Genomic DNA, 22,620 nt, shown 5'->3' with positions numbered 1-22,620 from the left:
GGAAGATTTGTTTCTTGTCCCTGTTTATTTGCGTATTTATTAAATCATTTATTTATATAAGTGAGGACTCACGTATGTGTGTTTTACATTTTGGTTTATATTTCCATATTATTTATTTTGTGGTTCCAATTGTTCCAGCTCTGCTCATTGGAAACCCTTTGTGGTTGGCTCCTATATCCCTTTGATTTGCCCTAATCTAAGATTTTATGATCAGATCTACTCTGAAATTTTCAACTTTTCAGTTATAGGAGGCAGTAAGATTTGTCTCCCCCTTTTTATTGCTTAAGCTAATTTGAGTTGAATATCTGCCATTGCAAGCAAAGAGAGACCTAAGAGAGACCTGATTAACAGACATAATATATAACAAAATCAGGTAAATAGATTATTTAACTTTGAGCTTCCTGGAAGCCAAAGTAAAAAGAGAAATAGTATGGATTATATAACACTTGTCTGATTAAAGGAAACATACCAAACTTAATTTAATCCCCGATTCAAATGTGACAAATACAAAGATCCTTATTCATGAGGATATTAAGTAGCATAAGGATTTTTCTAATGATGCCACGACATTCTGATTTAGAAGCAAAGGATGTTATTATTTTGGTGGGATTTAATAAAAAGGCATTTCTGTAAGAAGTTCCTGTGGCCTAGGAACTAGCTTTTCATATTCTAACCGGATACAGACAGACAGCTTAGGGAACCAGAGAATGGATGCATAGTCTTTGTCTCAGACTATCTTTTTCAGGGTCCTTGGGTATTTGATGGATAGCAGCCAAATGATCTTTTAAAAAATAGGCTGGGTGCAGTGGCTCACGCCTGTAATCCCAGCACGTTGGGAGGCCAAGACAGGTGGATCACGAGGTCAGGAGATTGAGACCATCCTGGCTAACAGGGTGAAACCCCGTCTCTACTAAAAATACAAAAAAATTAGCCAGGCATAGTGGCGGGCACTTGTAATCCCTCCTAGTGGAGGCTGAGGCAGGAGAATGGCGTGAACCCAGGAGGTAGAGGTTGCAGTGAGCCGAGATCGCGCCACTGCACTCCAGCCTGGGCGATTGAATGAGACTCCATCTCCAAAAAAAAAAAAAAAAAAAAAAAAAACACTCTTGGCCAGGCGTGGTGGCTCACGCCTGTAACCCCAGCACTTTGGGAGGCTGAGGCAGGTGGATCACCTGAGGTCGGGAGTTCAAGACCAGCCTGACCATCATGGAGAAACCCTGTTTCTACTAAAAATACAAAATTAGCTGGGCATGGTGGTGCATGCCTGTAATCCCAGCTACTCAGGAGACTGAGGCAGGAGAATCGCTTTAACCTGGGAGGCAGAGGTTGAGGTGAGCTGAGATGGTACCACTGCACTCCAGCCTGGGCAACAAGAGTGAAACTCCATCTCAAAACAAAACAAAACAACAACGAAAAACACTCTCAACAGATGCACACAATATTACTGAAAGGGTACTGATCTATTATAAGCCAGAATTACAATTCTAGCATTTGAGCTGGAGATTTAACTTTGCAATTTCCACTGATGCTAGTGAATTTCACATCAATTTCTCTACCTATCAGCCAGCAAAACTCCTTTTAACTTGTCAGCAGAGCTTAAGGGGATTCCTTCTGAAGAAAGTGCTCTTTAACACACAATGGATAACAGGTTTGGAATGCAAGGAGGGAGTGAGCCCAATGAAAATCTCCTCACAGAGAGCTGCTTTTATTCCCATTGCGTTTTTCCTTCCCTGAAACTTCAGATTTTCGGCACCTCCTGCTTGCAGGCTGTAACAGTGACTGCTGAGCACTCTATCCACAGCCCCTCTGGATCTCCATCAGAGCTCCAAGCTTGCATTCCATTTGCATTAGGAGCCCACCTTGCAGCCGGCTGGCCTGCCTCCTGACTCCAGATGTCATCTTCAGAAAGCTTCACCTTCCAGTGGCTGAGTTAATCCTCTTACCAAGGGTTTGGCTGCTTTTTAACTTCTAGAGGTATTTTCCTGCCACTGGCCAGCTTTTTTCTTTTTTTTTTCTTTTTTCTTTTTTTTTTGTCGTTGAGTTTCTGTGGTGCTATAGGATTTAAAGTGGGATAGATTAGCCTGAGCAAAAGACTTCAAGCCAGGCAGATCCTGTAGAACAAAGGAATTTCAGCCCCCAGAGAAGTTGGTGGCTTGGAAGAAACTTCAAACAGCATCCAGAACCCAGGCCATGGAAGAGCAATTAGTTTGAAAAACTCAGAGGCCTGGTGTTAGGCAGTGTGACCCAAACATCAACCATTCATACTTTCCACATCAGCCTAACACCTGTGCCATGGTTTACTTGATATTTATTTATATTTATTTATTTATTTATTTATTTATTTATTTATTTTTGAGACAGTGTTTTGTTCTTGTCGCCCAGGCTGGAGTGCAATGATGTGATCTCGGCTCACTGCAACCTCCGCCTCCTGTGTTCAAGCGATTCTCCTGCCTCTGCCTCTGAAGTAGCTGATATTACAGGTGCCCACCACCACGCCTGGCTAATTTTTGTAGTTTTCATAGAGATGGAGTTTCACCATGTTGGCCAGCCTGGTCTCGAACTCCTGACTTCAGGTGATCTGTCCTTAGCCTCCCAAAGTGCTGGGATTACAGGCGTTAGCCACTATGCCTGGCCTACTTCATATTTCTTTAAATCATTTCATGTTTTGAAGCTTAAATGCATTTACATAAAAATAAAACATTCTGGGCCTGACCAGCCAGGGCTCCAGGCCCTCCCAGCTCCCTGGGGCTTTGGCTGTGGAGCAAGAAGGCCTTCAGAGGCTAGGTATGGACCTAGCCACTCACCCTGAGTGCCTCTCCTTAGAGCCCAAAGGAGATCCAGAGAGGACAAACAGGGAATGACTAGGTCAGCAGGGCCCAGGCAGAGGCCGTGTCGCATCCTCTTCCACACCCAGCCTTGCAGGCTGCCCCAGAGAACACCCACACACACCGTACTCCCAGCCTCAGGGACCAGTGGGGGTGACAGATTGCTATACAGCAGGTAAACATGCAGTAATGAAGGACAGTTAGTTCTAGAAGACAGCCCGTGAAAAGACATGGGCCTCATCTGCCAAATTTGAAAAAAGAGTTGGCAAATACATCTCCCTGATACCACTCTCTCAAAGTCCACTAGAATTTCTAGAATGTGGGGCAAGGCAGGGTGTTGCAGAATGGAAACCACAGCTGGTTCCAGCCTGGAGGACCGTTTTGGGAAGATCACCTTTGCCTTGCTGGTCCTTGAGTATTTTTGCAGGTGAACAGCCAACTTCAGCAATAGTCCTTGGAGTGTGTAGCATGGCCTTGTCAGATTGGGAAGCACTTAGGTGCTACTAAGTTCTCATCAGGGCAAAATAAAGTGTGCCCTCAGAGAGATTCAGCTTCTTCCATTTCTTCCTGCATCGTTTGTTCATAGAGAACAAATGTGGGATTGAATAGTTCTGAACTCTGAAACATTTTTTTGTCCTGGAAGTGTTTTTGTGGCCAAGAATGTACATAGCATTTGCGGATGGAGTGAGCTCTGGTGGTGGTGTCTGGTGGAAGTTCAAAGCCTTTAATTGTGATCCCAGCATTTCCAAGCCCCTGGAATTGGGGGGCTGTGGCTCCGAGGATTAGTCACCTCAACTGAGTCCCTGTCCTTATTTGCCTGTGAAACTGGGAGAAAGGACTGAATTCACAGAAGCCTTGCAAAGAAGGACATTGTTATCTTTTCTTTTCTTTTTTTTTTTTTTTTAAGAAACTGATGTTTATTTTCCGCCAATCATTTTTCCGTGTTGCTTAAGAGCCTATGCAAGAACAGCTTAAGACCAGTCAGTGGTTGCTCCTACCCATTCAGTGGCCTGAGCAGTGGGAGCTGCAGACCAGTCTTCCATGGCAGGCTGAGCACTCCTGTCTTCAGTAGGGAACTACTGAATAGGCACAGAGGGCACCTGTACACCTTCAGACCAGTCTGCAACCTCAGGCTTAGTAGCAGTGAACTCAGGAGCTGGAGCAGTCCATTCACCCTGAAATTCCTCCTTGGTCACTGCCTTTTCAGTAGCAGCCTGCTCTTCTTTTTCAATCTCTTCAGGATCTCTGTAGAAGTAGAGATCAGGCATGACCTCCCATAGGTGTTCACGAGAAATGGTGCCACGCATGCGCAGAACTTCCCGAGCCAGCGTCCACCACATCAAACCCACTGAGCGAGCTCCCTGGTTGTTGCATGGAATGGCAATGTCCACATAGCGCAGAGGAGAATCTGTGTTACACAGAGCAATGGTAGGTAGGTTAACATAAGATGCCTCCGTGAGAGGCTGGTGGTCAGCCCTGGGGTCAGTAACCACAAGAAGCCTTGGCTCCCAGAAGTCTGCCTGGATCTGGTTAGTGAAGGTTCCAGGAGTGAAGTGACCAGCAATTGGAGTGGCTTCAGTGGCAGCAGCAAACTTCAGCACAGCCCTCTGGCCAGTATTCCTGGAGGATATAACACTGACATCAGCAGGGTTTTCAATAGCAATAATAGCACGAGCTGCCAGCAGAAGCTTCTCCCAGGTCCTCTTCAGATTTATGATATAGATGCCATCACTTTTCCTTTTATAGATGTACTGTTCCATCTGGAAGTCAAGATTGGTGCCACCTAAGTGGGTTCCTGCTACAAGGAACTTAAGGACATCCTCCTCCTTCATTTGCAGGACATCAAGCGCTCCAGACATTGTGAAAGTTTCCCTTTAAGTTACGACGGGAATCCAGAACGACGCTGTATGGACCCCTCTGTAGGTAGCGCGGAAAGGCTATCTTTTCAAAATTAATGGGCAATGCCATTTTTTTTGTACTTAAAAGGAGACTTTGCAAAGATGAGTCAAGTTTGGAAGGATGGTTGTGTGCAGACTCATTTTTGTAGTTCTGAGGAGCAAAAATGCCTAAATCTAGCTGCATGCTTCTTTTCCAGAACATGACACCCTGCCCCTTTATTTGTTGAAATGGTTGAAGCTCTGCACCATCAAAAAGGCTGAATTGCTTTTGCCACTGTAACAGACTGAAAGCCTGTGATGACGGGGCAGTGATGTCGACTTGGGCAGAATGGAGCCCGTGAATTATTGGGACGCCCTCGGTTTCTCAGTCCAGTACAGTATGCTCTTCTCTGTCTCTATTTTTGTGATTTTTTGGTGGCACAGATCCTCTGGAAAACATTGGTCTATGCTGACCTTATAATATTGCAACACATGATATTTTTCATGATGGAATGTTTGGACCGTATTTGCCCAGTTAAGCTCTACTGTATTTTGTAATAAAGAATCTCAAAATCGGCCTGGCGCAGTGGCTCACACCTGGCAATCCCAGCAATTTGGGAGGTGAGGCATATGGATCACCTGAGGTCAGGAGTTTGAGACCAGCCTGGCCAACATGGTGAAACCCTGTATCTACTAAAAATACCAAAATTAGCCAGGCATGGTGGCAGGTGCCTGTAATCCCAGCTACACAGGAGGCTGAGACAGGAGAATAGCTTGAACCGGCAGGGGTGGAGGTTGCAGTGAGCCGAGATTGCGCCATTGCACTCCAGCCTAGGTGAAAAGACAGAAACTCTGTCTCAAAAAACAAACAAACAAAAAAGAAAATCTCAAAACGCAGGGATGTATGGGAGGTGTGGTTAAATCTGAAGTCCCAGAAGCCCTGAATCCTAAAATGTGTGCTCAAAGAGGCACATTCTGAAATTCACAGAAAGGAAGAGGGATGAAGAGGAATCTATTTTTACATCGCTACAGTAAATGGAAAACAAGTGTCATTTGCATATGGAGATGAAAGCAGCAGAGAAAACACCAGTGATGATGAATATGATGGATGAGAACATAGCACAGTGGCTATGTTACCCCAGTTTAGCTCAGTCTTTTTATTTGGGGAGGGTTCTTGCCTTCAGGACTGCTCTCTCTTTGTTAAAAAGAATGGACTTTTTTCTAGAGGTTATCAGAAGCATCAGAACTATATGAGCTGAAGAAGAAGAACTTTTGGCTCTGTCATTCAAAGCCAGTTAACATCCTTTCCCATGTCCCAGCACGTTGGTGGACTCTAGTTGCTAGAAAGAGACCAGACTGTCTACAGGTTATCCTGGGATGCAACCCCAACTTTGCCCCTTTTTAGCCATGGGACCCTGGGCAAGTTCCTTGCTGTCTCCTTTTTCCCATCTTTAGAAGCTGTGACACTAATCTCTACCTTTGAGACCTGTTGTAAGGATTGAAGATCCCCTTCAGCATGGCAGAATGTGCCTCGTATGGTGCCTAGCAGCACAGAGCCAGTCTTCAGTATGTAGCTTTGATTACAAAAGATCAGGAAGTCCGTGGCTAGACAAAGAGCTCCCAGTCTGAGTTTAAACTGAGGAGCACAAAACAGTATTTCTCTGCTTTATGTATGTATTATAAGAATCACAGAAAGGGCTGGGGGCAGTGGCTCATACCTGTAATCCCAGCACTTTGGGAGGCCAACTCGGGAGGATCGCTTGAGGCAAATAGTTCGAGACTAGCCTGGGCAACAGAGTGAGATCCTGTCTCTATGAAAAATATATTTTAAAAAATTAGCCAGACATGGTGGTGTGAGTCTGTGTTCCAAGCTACTTAGGAGGCTGAAGTGGGAGGATTGCTTGGGCTCAGGAGGTCAAGGCTATGGTGAGCCATGTTCATGCCACTGCACTCCAGGCTGGGTGACAGAGCAAGACTCTGTCTAAATAAATAAATAAATAAATAAATACCTAAAAAAAAATTATAAAGAGGAAAATTTAAAGTGTGCCCTAATCTTACTATTCTGACATAGCCACTTTCATTCTCTTTTCATTCGATCATCACCTCTAACATTTTTTATTTTGCTTTTTTCACTTAACATTGTGACGTGAACATTTTCACCTTTGCTACATGGTTTCTCGTAAACACCACTGCAAAGGTGCCCTGGTTTCTCTACATGTCCCAGTTGCTGGGCCTGTAGTGACCTTCTGTCATTCACGGGTATGCCTAATGCTCCAGGGAACATCAGCGGCATCCTGGCCCTCAGGAGACTCAGTGTCCGACCCATTGCTCCACATCATCCTAGAAAACATTTGTAAAGCATTTTTCAGTCAACATAGGGAGTTCACTTATATTACTGCTTTTAATTCTTTCAATTTTTTTTTCCTACAAGATTGGATTCTTAGTAAAAGTCCTGGAGATGGCCAGGCACAGTGACTCATGCCTGTAATCCCAGCACTTTGGGAGGCCGAGGCGGGCAGATCGCTTAAAGTCAGGAGACCAGCCTGGCCAACATGGTGAAACCCCATCTCTACTAAAAATACAAAAATTAGACAGGCGTGGTGGCTCATGCCAGTAATCCCAGCACTTTGGGGGGCCAAGGCAGGCAGATCACCAGAGGTCGGCAGTTTGAGACCAGCCTGGCCATTGTGGTGAAACCCCATCTCTACTAAAGACACAAAAATGAGCCAGGTGTGGTAGCAGGTACTTGTAATCCCACTACTCGGGAAGCTGTGGTACAAGATCACTTGAACCCGGGAGGTGGAGATTACAGTGGGTGGAGATCATGCCACTGCACCCCAGCCTGGGAGACAGAGCAAAATTCCATCAAAAAAAAAAAAAAAGAAAAAAGAAAAAGAAAGTCCCAGAGGAGAAGCTAAAAATGAACAAAGATAATGAATATTTCTCCTGGCTCTCCAGACAATTGCCAAATTGCTCTCATTTCATCAGTTTGGCAAACATGCAGTGCTTCATGTTGCGGTTCTGACCTAGAGTGACAAAACAGGCCCTTCACAGCACTGGGTCCACATCCATCTCACTGCAACTGGGCCACACTGAGTGCTACTGTGTTCGTCTTTTTTTCCTGGTTAAGTAGCACCCCCTTGTTTGTACTGGAGGTCTCCCTTGGATGTCATTAATGGGTTTACATCCCAGCAGCATTAGGAACCTCCAAGGCAGGCACAGGCTGCAAGTCAATCATCCCACCCAAACTTCAGTGTTATCACCTATAAAGTGAAAGAGTTGGAATAGATGCCCATTGACACATGGGTAGCCATCCTAGAAAGTAGGTGTCATTGTTATACCCATTTTTTCTGATGAGGAAACTGAGGTTTGGCACACTGGGTAGCTTGCCTGAGCTTGTATGAGTGGTTAAGTGCCAGCTCTGTCTGAATCGTGGTTATTTTCCATGCTGCATGGGCTGTACTGAGAGGTGCTTTGGGGAGAGAATCTTGTCTGATGTATGTACAAGTCCTGCAGAGATTAACAAGGAAGAGGCCAATTTTATCTCCAAGATAGAAAGGATTTTTTTTTTATTTTCGGTTTTTGTGTCTGCATGATACCGGTGCTGCCGAGCCCCCACACCCCCACCAACCACAACCCCCAACCACCTACTTCCTGAAGGATTCCTTGGCCTGGTAAAAATAATCAGGGGCCCCTACCTGGGATACGTTGGTATTGCATGAGTAGGCCCTGGGTCCTAGATCACCAGGTCCTTGTCAGTGCCCCAGCCTCCCCTTTCTTTCTTTAGCCCTGGATCTGCCCTGTTGTCTTCATGGGCTTTGCAAATCAAAGTACCCTTTCCTTAATTTTAACAAGTTGACTATGAATTTCTTTAAGAGAGATTTACCTTCCCTTGTTTTAAAATGAAACCAGAGTCAAGGAGAGCTTCCGTTCTAAGTACTGGCTGTAGCAAATCACACTAGTTAGAGTCACCTCTAGAAATTTATCGAGGAAGTTTCCTCTTTCAGTAGTAACTCATGGTTTTCAGGATTCATAGACTTGGAGTGATGGGAGGAGCTAGAGAGCCCAGGCAGCTGAAGAATTGTAAATTCAAATCGACAGGAGCCAGAAGTGATACAAGTGAGTGAAGTGGGGCAATAGGGACTGGTAGGGACTGCGGTGCACTGGGGCACTGGACACACGTGTCCCATGTATAGGGCACAGCACTGCTCAGATCACCCAGGTTGTTACCGTGAACAAAATAGACCCAGTACTGCCCAATCTTTCATTTTTCTTTTCTTTTCTCTTTTGTTTACTTTTATTTTTATTTTTTTGAGATGGAGTCTTGCTCTTGTCACCCAGGCTGGAGTACAATAGTGTGATCTCATCTCACTGCAACCTCCACCTCCCGGATTCAAGTGATTCTCCTGCCTCAGCCTCCCGAGTAGCTGGGATTACAGGCACCCACCACCACGCCCAGCTAATCTTTTGTATTTTTAGTAGAGTTGGGGTTTCACCATGTGGGTCAGGCTGGTCTTGAACCCCTGACCTCACGTGATCCACCCACCTCGGCCTCCCAAAGCGCTGGGATTACAGGCATGAGCCATCGTGCTTGGCCTAATCTTTTATTTTTCAAGAGATGCTAGAACTCCTAATTTTAGAAATCTGCCGGTTTAAAAAAATGAACATTATTCAATGGAATCATTGTTCCCCCCAAAAATAAACATTAGATTTGAATTCTGAGAGGAAAAATGTGCAGACCAAACACCAAACACGTCTGGTGTTTGTAACTCTGGCATGGATAAGGGTTTATACATTTTGATTGAGTGGCAGTCTCTATTTTACAGATGTAGGAGCTGAAAACCAGAGAGAGAAAATGATCATTATTGAGCATTCTCTGCCAACAGTTCAGGGGCCTTCAGATAGAAAAAGCTGTAATGCCAAAGTACAGCATTTTGAAGTCATGGGAGAGTAAATTTGGGTGCAATAAGGGCTAAGTGTAAAAGTGAGCATTTGTTGGTCACTGGCTACATTCCTGTCACTGTGTAAAGATATATCTCTTATAGTCCTCACAGCTAAATAGTTCATCCACTTCACAGATGAGGAAACCAAGGTTTAAGGATGATAAATCAGAATAAAGGGTGGGTCAGTGTTCAAGACTTCAGAGTCCATGCTCCTTCTACTACTGGTAGCTATCTTATTATTTTTTTTAATTAATTAATTTATTTTTTGAGATAGGGTCTCACTCCCATCGCCCAGGTGGGAGTGCAGTGGCACTATCATGGGTCACTGCAGCCTCCACCTCTGGGGCTCAAGTGATCTTTCTACCTCATTTTTTAAATTTTTTGTAGTGACAAGGTCTCACCACGTTGCCCAGCTTGGTCTCAAACTCCTGGGCTCAAGCAATCCGCCCACCTTGGCCTCCAAAAATGCTGGGATTATAGGCAGGAGCCAATGTGCCTGGCCAGTTAGCTGTCTTCTTGGGTAATGAGCCTCCTGTCCTTGGATGTGTTCAGGCAGAGGCTGTATTCGTAGAATGATCCTTATATTGGGTAAGAAGCAGGACCAGATGCCACTCAAGGTTTTTGTTGTTGTTTTATTTGTGTTTGTTTTTTTCTGAGGTGGAGTCTCACTCTGTCACCCAGGCTGTAGTGCAGTGGCCCAATCTTGGCTCACTGCAACCTCCACCTCCCAAGTTCAAGTGATTCTCCTGCTTTAGCCTCCCAAGTAGCTGGGATTACAGGCACGCACCACCATGCCTGGCTAATTTTTGTATGTTTAGTAGAGACAGTGTTTCACTATGTTAGCCAGGCTGATCTCAAATTCCTGACCTCAAGTAATTCACCTGCCTTGGCCTCCCAAAGTGCTGGAATTACAGGCGTGAGCCACTGTGCCCGGCCTCCAGGTGTTTTCAAGGCTGGGCTAACCTTGACACTGGACATTTTGAGCTGGATATTTCTTTGCATTGGACTGGATATTTCTTTGTGCTGGACTGGATATTATTTCCTTGTGCTGGACTGGATATTTCTTTGTGCTGGACTGGATATTTCCTTCTTTCTGTACATTGCAGGATGTTTAGTGGTATGCCTGGTTCTCTCCAGGGACTTCCCACATCTCTAGATGCCTGTGGTACCTCTCCTCTCCCCCGAGTCATAAGGGCCAAATATGTCTGGAGACTGTCAAATTCCCCTGCGGAGCAAAATTGCCCCCAGTTGGAAACCAATTCTTTAAGATTTGGCATTTTTATGAATCTATAATTAGTGATTTTTTTTTATCTCTGCCAACAGTGCTGAGTGAAAAAAGTAAGAAATAGGAGTCTTATCATTCAATACCACCTATGTAAATTAAAAGACTTGCATGCAAATAGGATGCGTACAAGGGACACAGGACACACACATTCAAATGGTTGCCCATGGGAAAGGGGAATAGGGTAAGGGAATGAGGATGAAATGCAAGAAATGCAGTACACGAATCAAGAGAGATGTCTAGAATGGACCAATGGTGAGAGTGAACTATGCAATGAATGCAGGGTGTGATGAACCAATACTTTTCCCCAAAGTTAATTTTTTTCAAGAAAATAAAGTCCTCTGCCATCGTTGAGAAGAGATGGCCAGATTCCTCAGCACTCTTGTCATTTACAAGACCTTGTTTCTCCATCCACACTGGAGGTGTCATCCTGATTTTTTATCTTCCTACCACAACTCCTTCCGCACCATGGCTGTTGTCATCTTGAATGTCATCTTGAATGTTCCAGCCTTGCATGCCATGCGGAAAACCAAGTCCCATATCTGCATAGTATGTCCCGTGGACGTATTGTCATGAACAATCCCAGGAACTTTAGGATGATATAACAGCTCCGGGCCTTCTGGATGGAAACAAGAAAAAGTTCCTATCTCACATCCCTGCCCACATTTGCAAACGGTAAATTTGAAGTGAAAAATAGGGAATGGTTACATAGCCACCATGGAAATCTTTGGCCTGGGAGACATTTGGAATAACGGGGTGGCACAAAGAACCCTGAGACATACTTGCACCGATATTTTTAATCCTTGTCACCATCAAGCGCCTCTGGATTTTGTGTGCTGCGGCACTATCAAGCTGCTGAAGTTGGAAGACAGAATTAATAGTGATAATAATAGCGGCTGCTATTCACTGATCATCTACTTTGTGCCAGGTACTGGGTACAAGGACCTTCGCATAGGTTCTTGCTAATGACTTTTCATGTAGGGAAGAAGTTTAGATCTCATTTTTTTTCCTTTTAATTTATTTATTTTCTTTTTTTAAAAATATACATGTTTTTGAAACAGGGTATAGCTTGTCGCCTAGGCTGGAATGCAGTGGGATCATGCATTCCACTCAAGTAATCCTCCCACCTCAGTCATCACACCCGCAATCTCCAGTAGCTGGGACCACAAGTGTGCACCACCACACTCAGCTAATTTTATTTAATTTTATTTTTGTAGGGACAGGGGTTCCGCTATGTTACCCAGGCTGGTCTCAAACTCCTGGACTCAAGCAATCCTCCTGCCTTGGCCTCCCAAAGTGCTGGGATTACAGGTATGAGTCACCACGCCCGGCTGGATTCCAGTTTGATGTGAGAGATGGAGAAATAGATTCCTCAACTCTTTAAAGAGCCTCTATAATAACCTTTCCCTGGGCCACCTACTCCCTGTGGGGAGGGCAGTGGTCTCCTCAGCTACAGGAAGACCTCCTCCAATTCCTAAAGCAGACTGCTGTGTGCCCTCAGGCAATGCACTCCACCTCTCTGAGCCACAGACGTCTTGCCTTTCAAATGTGCAGAAGGCACCTGCCCTGTCCACTTCAGCAGGCTGTTAGGAGGACCACCTGGGGTCCTGCAGAGTGTTCTCTGAATAAAGGAAGTGTTGAGAATTTATTTTCAGGCTTCATGGTATCACATTGGCAGAAGGCTCACTTCCATATCTCATTAATTTTTTTTTTTTTTTTTGAGACGGAGTCTCGCTCTTGTTGCCCAGGCTGGAGTGCAATGGCGCGATCTCGGCTCACCACAATCTCTGCCTCCTGGGTTCAAGCGATTCTCCTGTATCAGCCTCCCAAGTAGCTGGCATGACAGGAATGTACCACCAAGCCTGGCTAATTTTGTATTTTTAGTAGAGACGGGGTTTCTCCATGTTGGTCAGGCTGGTCTCGAACTCCTGACCTCAGGTGATCTGCCTGCCTCGGCCTCCCAAAGTGCTAGGGAATACAGGCATAAGCCACCTAGCCCGGCCTAATCTCATTAATTTTAAGTTGCCTCTTCCTACCTTTTAATGCCCCCTTCTGTTGCCTTTGATATATGACAATCTTACTACCACATATACACTATTTATAATTATTGTAATAATGACAACCATCTTTCCAATATGCACTAAATATGCATATACTACTAGGCAACTTGTGTGCATAATCTAAGTATTCCAAGTGTGTGTGTGGTGGGGGGTGGGGGGGATGTGTTTGCAGCGATAGAGCAGTAGAAGCTGTTGCCCAGGGTTTATGGGTAGTTCAAGACTCTGTTCTTCCTACTATCTGGGCTATCTCTGTCCTTCCCCTGGTGTCTCCAGAGTAACTGCTGCTGGGGGTCAACAGAACATGGCCTTGGGTTCAAGAGACACCTGAATTTGAGTCCTTGCTCTGCCAACAACCAGCTGTGGGACCCTTGGCAAGTCACACAACCATGAGGCTCAGAGTCCTTGGCCTAAGTTGAGGATGTCAATATCCGCCTCCTAAGGCCCAAGTGAAAGTGACATGAGACTGTGTTGGTAAAGTGTCTGTTGCATGCCAGGTACTCCATGGATGCTAACTGCCTCCTGTGGGTGTGAAACCTTGTGTATTTCCCCTTCCAGTATAGTTGCTCACTGATCTTTCAGAGAGAGAAACAGAAAAACACCTGAGAATAAAAACAATTTTTAAGATCTTTTGATGGTTAATTTTACGTTTTCAACTTGGCTGGGTGTTGGCATCCAGAAATTTGATCAAACTTTATTCTGAGTGTTTCTATGAAGATGTGTTTTGAGGGATGAGATTAACATTTAAATGGATGGACTTTCAGTAAAGCAGATGATATTCCATAATGTGGGTGGGCCTCATCCAATCAGGTGAAGGCTTGAATACCAACAAAAGGCTGACCTGCCCTGAGCAAGAAGGAATTCTGCCAGCAAATGGCCTTGGACTTGAACTGCACAATCAGCTCTCCCCTGGGTCTCCAGCCTGCCAGCCTCCCATCTCAGACTTTGGACTCATGAAACATCCGCTGTTGTGTTAGCCCAGGGGTCCCCAACCTTTTTGGTACCAGGGACCGGTTTCACAGAAGACAATTTTTCCACGGATGGGAGTGAGGGGATGGTTTTGGGATGATTCAAGCACATTACATTTATTGTGCATTTTATTTCTATTATTGGTACAATGTAATATATTACAATATATATCATATATTATAATACATGATATGTTATGTATATCATGTATAACATAAATATGTAATATGATATATGTTATAATACATGATATGTAACATATATTATATATCATGTATTACAATATATATAAAGAAATGATTACACAACTCACCATAATGTAGAATCAGTGGGAGCCCTGAGCTTGTTTTCCTGCAACTAGATGGTTCCATCTGGGGGTGATGGGAGACAGCGACAGATCATCAGGCATTAGACTCTCATAAGGAGCACGAAACCTAGATCCATCACACGTGCAGTTCACAGGTGGGTTTGTGCTCCTACGAGAATCTACTGCTGCCGCTGATCTGAGAGGTGGGGCTCAGCTTCACTTTCTTGCCTGCTGCTCACCTTCTGCTGTGCAGCCCAATTCCTATAGGCCATGGACTGGTACTGGTCTGTGGCTCGGGATCCCTGTGTTAACTAATATCTTAAAATAAGTCTCTCGACCGGGCGCGATGACTCACGCCTGTAATCCCAGCACTTTAGGAGGCCGAGGTCAGGAATTCGAGACCAGCCTGGCCAACATGGCAAAACCCCGTCTCTACTAAAAATACAAAAATTAGCTGGGAGTGGTGGCGGGCGCCTGTAATCCCAGCTACTCGGGAGGCTGAGGCAGGAGAATTGCTTGAACCCGGGAGGCGGAGGTTGCAGTGAGCTTAGATTGCGCCATTGCACTCCAGCCTGGGAGACAGAGTGAGACTCTGTCTCAAACTAAATAAATAAATAAATAAATAAATATCTCAATCTCTCTAATACACACACACGCACACACACACACACACACCCCTTGTTGGTTCTGTTTCTCTGGAGAATCCTAATACAGACCCCAAATCAAAAACTCTGTGTTACTGGCAGGATTGTCTCGGGCACCTTAGAAGGCAGGTGAAAGGTGCAGCGTCAGTGCCTCTGAGCCACTTTGCAGCGGAGCGAGCTGTTTCCTGATCATGAGAAGCTGGCCACAGGGCAGGAGACATCATGGGATTTCCCCAGTTTGCCTGAATAATGAAGTGTTGCCGTTGCCTGCATAGCTGAATATGAGCAAAATATGTTTTCCGTGCTCTATCCACCATTTGGAGAAAAATAAAAAAACACTTAGATTTTTTTAATGAATGCTGTCATGAAAGTATGTGCTGTGTTCAATGACTTCTTCCCTACCCTAAAGCCTTGCTAATTACCAAAAGCTATGGCCTTCTAGATTTGCATTTCGGTCACTGCAGGAGCACAGGCATTAAATTTCCAGGCTTTTACATTGTGGAGTTTTCCTTTCTTTTTTTTTTTGAGATGGAGTCTCACTCTGTCGCCCAGGCTGGAGTGCAGTGGCGCAATCTAAGCTCACTGCAACCTCCGCCTCCCGGGTTCAAGCAATTCTCCTGCCTCAGCCTCCTGAGTAGCTGGGACTAGAGGTGCTCACCACCAGGCCCAGCTAATTTTTTAATTTTTAGTAGAGACGGGGTTTTACCATGTTGGTCAGAGTGGTATTGAACTCCTGACCTCAGGTGATCTGCCCGCCTCGACATCCCAAAGTGCTGGGATTACAGGCATGAGCCACCGTACCCAGCCTTGGAGTTTTCCTTTCTAAAAGGGTTTTTCAACCTTGGAACTACTGACATCTGGGGCTGGATAACAGTTTTTTGTCGTGTGATTGTCCCACTCTTGGTAGGATAGTTAGCAGCACCCCTGGCCTCCACCCAGGGCCAGCTTGCTCATTAATCAAAGAAGAATCAGTGTCTAAGTTTCCTGATACTTTTAGGGCCCTCAAAAATGTTTTAATTTTAATTTTAAAATCAGAAGGAAAAAGTGAACGTAATAATTAAAAATATTTGATAATGAATGTGTCCTGAATGATATTCATCTTCATATAAAATCAATTTTAAAATATAATTTTAATATGTATGTGTGTGTTTTATGGAAAAAGGGACTCCCAAAGGCCAAAATGAGCTGAGCACATGGCTCATGCCTGTAACCCTAGCACTTTGGGAGGCCAAGGCAGGTGGATTGCTTGAGCTCAGGAGTTCGAGACCAGCCAGGGAATCATAGCAAGATCCTGTCTCTACTAAAAATAAAAAAAAAATTAGCTGGGCATGGTGGTGTGTGCCTGTAGTCCTAGCTACTTGGGAGGCTGAGGTGGGAAGATCACTTGAGCTTAGGAGGCAGAGGCTGCAGTGAGCCAAGATGGTGCCACTGCCCTCCACCCTGGGCACTAGAGCAAGACCCTATCTCAAAGAAAAAAAAAAAGAAAAGCCATGATGTGATGTGCAGGGCCTATGAACATCATATGACTGCCCTGCCTCTATTTACTACATGTCACTGGCATTTTTCTCTCCAATTGTGACAATAAAAAATGTCTCCAGCCATAAGCAAGTGTCCCTGGAAGGGGAGTGCCAAATCTGCCAGTTGAGAATCACTGCTTTTCACTAATAAGAAAAGTAAGCCAGGCATGGTGGCTCATGCCTGGAATCCCAGCACTTTGAGAGGCTGAGGTGGGGGGATCACCTGAGGTCAGGAGCTTGAGACCAGTCTGGCCAACAGGGTGAAATCCTGTCTCTACTAAAAATACAAAACTTAGCTGGGCGTGGTGGTGCACGCCCGTAATCCCAGCTACTCGAGAGGCTGAGGCAGGAGAATCGCTTGAACCCATGAGGCAGAGGTTGCAGTGAGCCGAGATCATGCCATTGCACTCCAGGCTGGGTGACAAGAGTGGAACTCTGTCTCAAAAAATCAAAAAAGTAATAATTATGTATTCATTCACCAGTATTCCAGGGGCACCTCCTGGGTGCTGGTGCTGTGCTTGCTTTGGGACCGCAGGAAGAATAGAAGAACAGGGTATTCTTTCTGCCCTTGGGCTGCTCTTGGGAGTGTCAGAGGAACCAAGTGAGATTGATACATGGGCTGGGAGGTGCTGAGACACACACATCAGACCCTTCATCTCCGAGAAGCAGCAGCGACTAACTCATGAGAAGGGCTGGGAAGGTTCTCAGAAGTGTGCGCTTTGAAACAGAGTCTTCAAAGTTTTTAAGGTTGAGAACAAAGAGAGGGTCCTTGGTGTGCAAACAAACGTAGAGGGGTGAAAGGGAACCCCACAGTCTGCCTTTGTGGTCACTGCAAAACCCTGAGGGCTGGACATAGTCTCCCTTTGTAACAAGTAAAATAGGTGAGCATTAAGTTCCCTGGAATCACGGAAATATTAATTTCTTCTTGAATCTCCTGAAAGATCCGTTTCTTCTGTCGGCACCAACAATAACATACGACGTGAAATGCCACCGGCTCTGGCACCGTGTCCAGCCCCATGAAGTCCAATTAGAAAATGAGCATTGATTTCAGATTTATCAGATTCGAGTTTTGACTTGTGTCCAGGGGAGAACAGGGAGACAGTGTTATTCCAGGCTTATATTTCACCTTCTTGAGGAAGGAAAGGAAAGACACACGTCGTTTTGACGGGATCCAGAGCCTGGCTTCGAGAGAGGCGCCCTATTTTATAACAGAGCTGCTGTCTAGAAATAGTCCTGCCCTGTGGATGCTGTTTAGTTTCTGGCCCGACATGCCAGAGATGTGAAATAGAATGCAGTCACCGGGCCGACAGCGGCTTTTCCAAGGCGGGGGCGATCTGCCTGCCACAGGGCGAAATGGTCTTGGTGAAGTGTGTATTCCCATACTGGCATTTGGGGGCTGGGAGGGATGAATACTTATGAAACTTGAAAATTAGCCACAGTCTGCACTTTGCCTAAGAGGAATGGTGACTGCCCTTCCCGGTACACATGAAGACAGGCCTGGAAGCATTAACGCTGGGGGCAGTTGGGATGACTTGGAGCTCTCCCCTTTCTTTGGGCTATTGGGCCCCTCCTGGGCCTTCTTTCCAGACTGTTAATAACACAGCAGCCCCCTACCCACACCCCCGCCCCTCCACAAGCAGTGCTGTGTGGTAGAAGGAGCACAGATTTGAGGATAGCGTCCTAGCTCTCCCCTCCTTACGTTCTGAGGAATGTGGTATAATTTTCTTTTCTTTTTTTTGTTCTTTTCTTTTCCTTTTTTTCTTTTTTCTTTTCTTTTTTCTTTTCTCCTTCCTTCCCTCCTTCCTTCCTTCCTGCCTGCCTTCTTTCTTTCTTTCTTTCTTTCTTTTTTTTGATGGTGTCTCGCTCTGTTGCCCAGGCTGAAGTGCAGTGGCGTGATCTTGACTCACTACAACCTCTGCCTCCCAGGTTCAAGTGATTCTCCTGACTCAGCCTCCTGAGTAGCTGGGATCACAGACATGCACCACCACACCTGGATAAGTTTTGTATTTTTAGTAGACATGTGGTTTCGTCCTGTTGGCCAGGCTTGTCTTGAACTCCTGACCTCAGGTGATCTGCCCGCCTTGGCCAAAGTGCTAGGGTTACAGGCATGAGGCACCTCACCCGGCATTTTTTTGTATTTTTTAGTAGAGACGGGGTTTCCCCCACGTTGGCCACGCTGTTCTTGAACTCCCAACCTCAAATGATCCATCCGCCTGCCTCAGCCTCCCAAAGTGCTGGGATTACAGGTGTGAGCCACCGCACCCAGCCGTGGTACAGTTTTCTTAACCTCATTGAGTCCCTCATCATCACCCCATGGGGTGAGTGCAGAGAGAGGAAGGGCTGTGCCGGCTCAAATCCCATTTCTGCCACTCAAGTCTGTTGCCTTCAGAAAATGAGCTGACTCTGTAGCAGTGACAGTATAGAACCAGTTACTGCTCTATCCACTTTTCATGTCTTGACCTATTTGATCTTTGCAGCAACCTTGGTGGTGGGGCAGAGCACAGTGTGAGTACTCAGTCAGCAGCAGCCCCTGCGATTGTCATTCTTTAGGATTATGATTACCGTGAGCTTTTCCAGTGAGGGTCTGAGCACCCGCTGGTATTGGTATTTATGGAGCTATGATGAAGCTCCTCTACAATGCTTGGAATTATGGTTGGAGGGACCTGGACCAGGTGGAAATGGGCCCAGTCGTTCTGCGTGGACAGGAGTCCAGCCTCAAGGTTCTCTTGAACAGGCATGGGACTTGCCCAAGGTCACACAGTGAATGGTGGTGGAATGAGGAGTAGCTTCAGGTCACCTTCCCCTGTCCCAGGCAGCCTTGGAGAGCAGAGGAAGTTTCTTTTGATCCACAGCCCCCCACTCCTTTCGTAAAAAGGCAATTTGGACAGACATCCTCTGCATTTCCTCTTGGGGTGGGGATTGGCGATTGTCACTCTGGAGGGCTTGGCTCCAGCCCTCCCAGTCCCCCACCCACTGTGGCACAAGCAGCCCTGAGGAAGCAAGCCCAGCCCAGAACACAGCTGCCTCCCGCACCATCTGAAACATGAAATTAATTTAATACTTGAAAACGCAGCCCTCATTATCTCTCCGAGCAACAGGATCTGTCTACAAACCTGAGAAGTTCAGATTACCAAGTTTCCAGGCTGTTTTACCAACCTCATCCAAAAACAATCCTGGTTTTATAACTCAATAAAAAAGGACCCGTGCTTCAATAAGCGAGTAGTGCAGGCAAGCAGAGGGGCAGACCAGGGAAAATGATCAGTCCCCCAGAGTGGGGTGGGGGTAGGAGGAGGAGGCGACTGCCAGGCGGAGGGGTGGAGAGGGGGCACTCTGCAGGCCCAGAATCCTTGTCTGGGGAGAAAAACCTCCAGAAACGCCTACTTCCACATGCTTGGTGGGGTTTACCCTCAGGACAGGCCCGAGGGGCAGCAGCAGGTAACCCTCCTCTCTATATGGCAGATGAGAAAACCCAGTTGGGGCGGGGGCAGGTGCCAGGCACTGTTGTGCAGGCCTCTTGGCCAAGGTGGGCAGTGGAGACGACACTCACCTTGCCCGTGGTGTGGGGCTGCCTCCTCCTGGCAGGGGCATCCACCTGCTTTCATTCACACACAGGTGCCCCGTGGCCACCCACCTGCTCTCATTCACACACAGGTGTCCCGTGGCCGCCCACCTGCTCTCATTCACACACAGGTGTCCCGTGGCCGCCCACCTGCTTCGCCTCCTCTGCTTGGGCAGCAAGTTTTTCTGCAGGTTTTCCATGGATTCCCCAGTTCTGGAACTGAGGATGCCCACAGCATCTCTGTCTTGCGCTTGGATGGTTTTTCCTGCAGCCAGATTCCCCTGGTGGGCGGGTGGGGGGTAGAATCTACAATGGTAGGAATGGATCCTGCTGCTGCCTGTTTTCTCAGGGCATCTTGGGAAATGCCACTTTCTCTTGCAGGGTTTGGTGAAGATTAATGAGGCGGGTGTAGCAAGGGGAGGGTCTTCTCCTACAGTGGTAGTGAGTGTGGAAATTGGTTCTACCTCACCGACATGGTGATTCAGGTCAACAATAATGCTTATACCTTTTGACCCAGCAATTCCACCTGTTGGATGGATCCTGGGGAGTAATTTGAACAAGTGGCAAAGATATATGAATGAGGAGGTTCGGGGCTGCCCTGTGTATAGGAGCGAAAAATGGCCAATATACAGCCACTGAGAGAGATTCGGTTCAGCAAAGTACCCCTCCCCAATACAATTAGCTGCAGCCATTGAAGAGAACCAGGTAGATCTACATTCAGTGACTTGGAGTGAAGTCTAAATTTTTTTAAAGCATTCGTACAAATGCAGGAGATTCTGAAGCACTATGGAGAGTATTATTCAATTTCTGTAAAATCTTTATAATACACATTTTTGTATATATTTTTCTTGATATACATAGATAAATCTGGAGGTATACAACAAATGGTTAATTAACAGTGTTTATTCCTTTGGTACATAAGCATGTGGCACATATTTGCAGTGTGCTCAATTTGTTTTATGATGTTTGATTTTTTTTTTTTCTTGTTGAGACAGAGTCTGACTCTGTCGCCGAGGCTGGAGTGCAATGGTGTGATCTTGGCTCACTGCAACCTCTGCCTCCCAGGTTCAAGGGATTCTCCTGCCTCAGCCTCCCAAGTAGCTGGGATTACAGGCACACACCACCACGCCTGGGTAATTTTTGTATTTTTAGTAGAAACAGAGTTTCACCAGGTTGTCAGGCTAGTCTCGAACTCCTGACCTCATGATCCACCTGCCTTGGCCTCCCAAAGTGCTGGGATTACAGGCATGAGACTGATTTGTTTTTAAATGTACCTGACTTTAATTTATAATCAGAATGAAAGGTATGCCACCCCATAATCCTAGCACTTTGGGAGGCCCATGTGGAGGATCACTTGAACCCAGGAGTTTGAGACTAGCCTGGGCAATATAGTGAGACCCCGTCTCTATAAACAAAATCAGCCAGGTGTGGTTGCACATGCCTGTAGTCCAGCTACTCGAGAGGCTGAGCCTGGGAGGTCGAGGCTATGGTGAGCCATGATTGCACCACTGCACTCCAGCCTGAGCAACAGACTGAGACCCTGTCTCAAAAAAACAAAAAAAACATAAAACCACACACACCCCCAAAACAAAAGAAAGGTATTCCCGTTTGGAAAGAAATAAAAAGAAAGACAAGAGAGAGATCAAAGAAAAAACATTTAGAACAGTGACCACACATAGTAAGTGCTCAGTAAATAAAGTTCTGTTCACAGAGTCTCCTGAAACCATCACTATCAGCTAGCAACTTAGAAATTTATGTGTTTGTCTCATACTGAAAGTCCACAGGTTCAGCTCAGCACTACTTAGCCAAATTAAAATGGAAATACATAGGCAAAGCAAACCCTACTGGCAAAAAACGAAAAGAGAAAACTGACTATACATGTATATAAAATCCATGTTACAATATGCTGGGCTGGAACCCGTAAATTGGAAACATGTGAAGTTACCCTGTATTGGCCTAAAAATCAATACATTTTAAATACATTGACTTGGAAGTCGAGCCGTCTTCATGAAGCTCCTAAGGATGGGAAGGTGCGCACCACATTAGGGAGCTTCATGAGAGAGCAAGCGGCTGCCGGATGCTCTTAGGCACATTTGTGGACTAGCACTTCAAGGCAAAGACATCACAAAGGACTTGCCTAGTACCAATTCCCTCCCCAATCATATGAGGCAAATGTCAAACAGATGTCCTCAAAGGGTGGAAAAACGAAATGAAAGGCACATTTAGAATATATAGAGCCGAAAAACCAAAAACCAATGGAAATTAGGACTCTGATGAGCACAAAGCTTACCATTAATGCCTTTTTTTTTTCACTATAGCACTTGCAAATTGATTTCTTGATCCCCAGGCACGCATCTGGAGATCTGCGGAGGGACATGGCCCTAGTTTGATAAAGTGACGGGTCTCAGCCAGGCATCCGTAGCCCTTCATGGTCTGGCAGTAACTCCTTTGTCTAGCCCTGACACCCACTCAAGCACCCTCTAGCATCCCATCTTTGATCTCCCCACAATATTTCCATCCTCATTTCTCTCCTTAAAATTGCCACCCTCAATGCACCAGCTTCCACTCTCAAACATTCCTGCCCTACACCCCTTCACCATCCAACATTCCCATCCTCCACCCACCCACTGGCCAATATGC

The 22,620-nt window shown here is 45.9% G+C and overlaps 1 pseudogene; it reads right to left on the bottom strand.

The window, feature by feature from the left end:
• On the bottom strand, window positions 3,727–4,760 carry RPSAP4 (ribosomal protein SA pseudogene 4; annotated as a pseudogene).

The sequence above is a fragment of the Homo sapiens genome, chromosome 14 (assembly GCF_000001405.40).
Source record: "Homo sapiens chromosome 14, GRCh38.p14 Primary Assembly".
Classification (NCBI taxonomy): domain Eukaryota; kingdom Metazoa; phylum Chordata; class Mammalia; order Primates; family Hominidae; genus Homo; species Homo sapiens.
The sequence above is the reverse complement of the archived record's forward strand: the minus strand, read 5'-3'. Positions and strand labels throughout refer to the sequence as shown.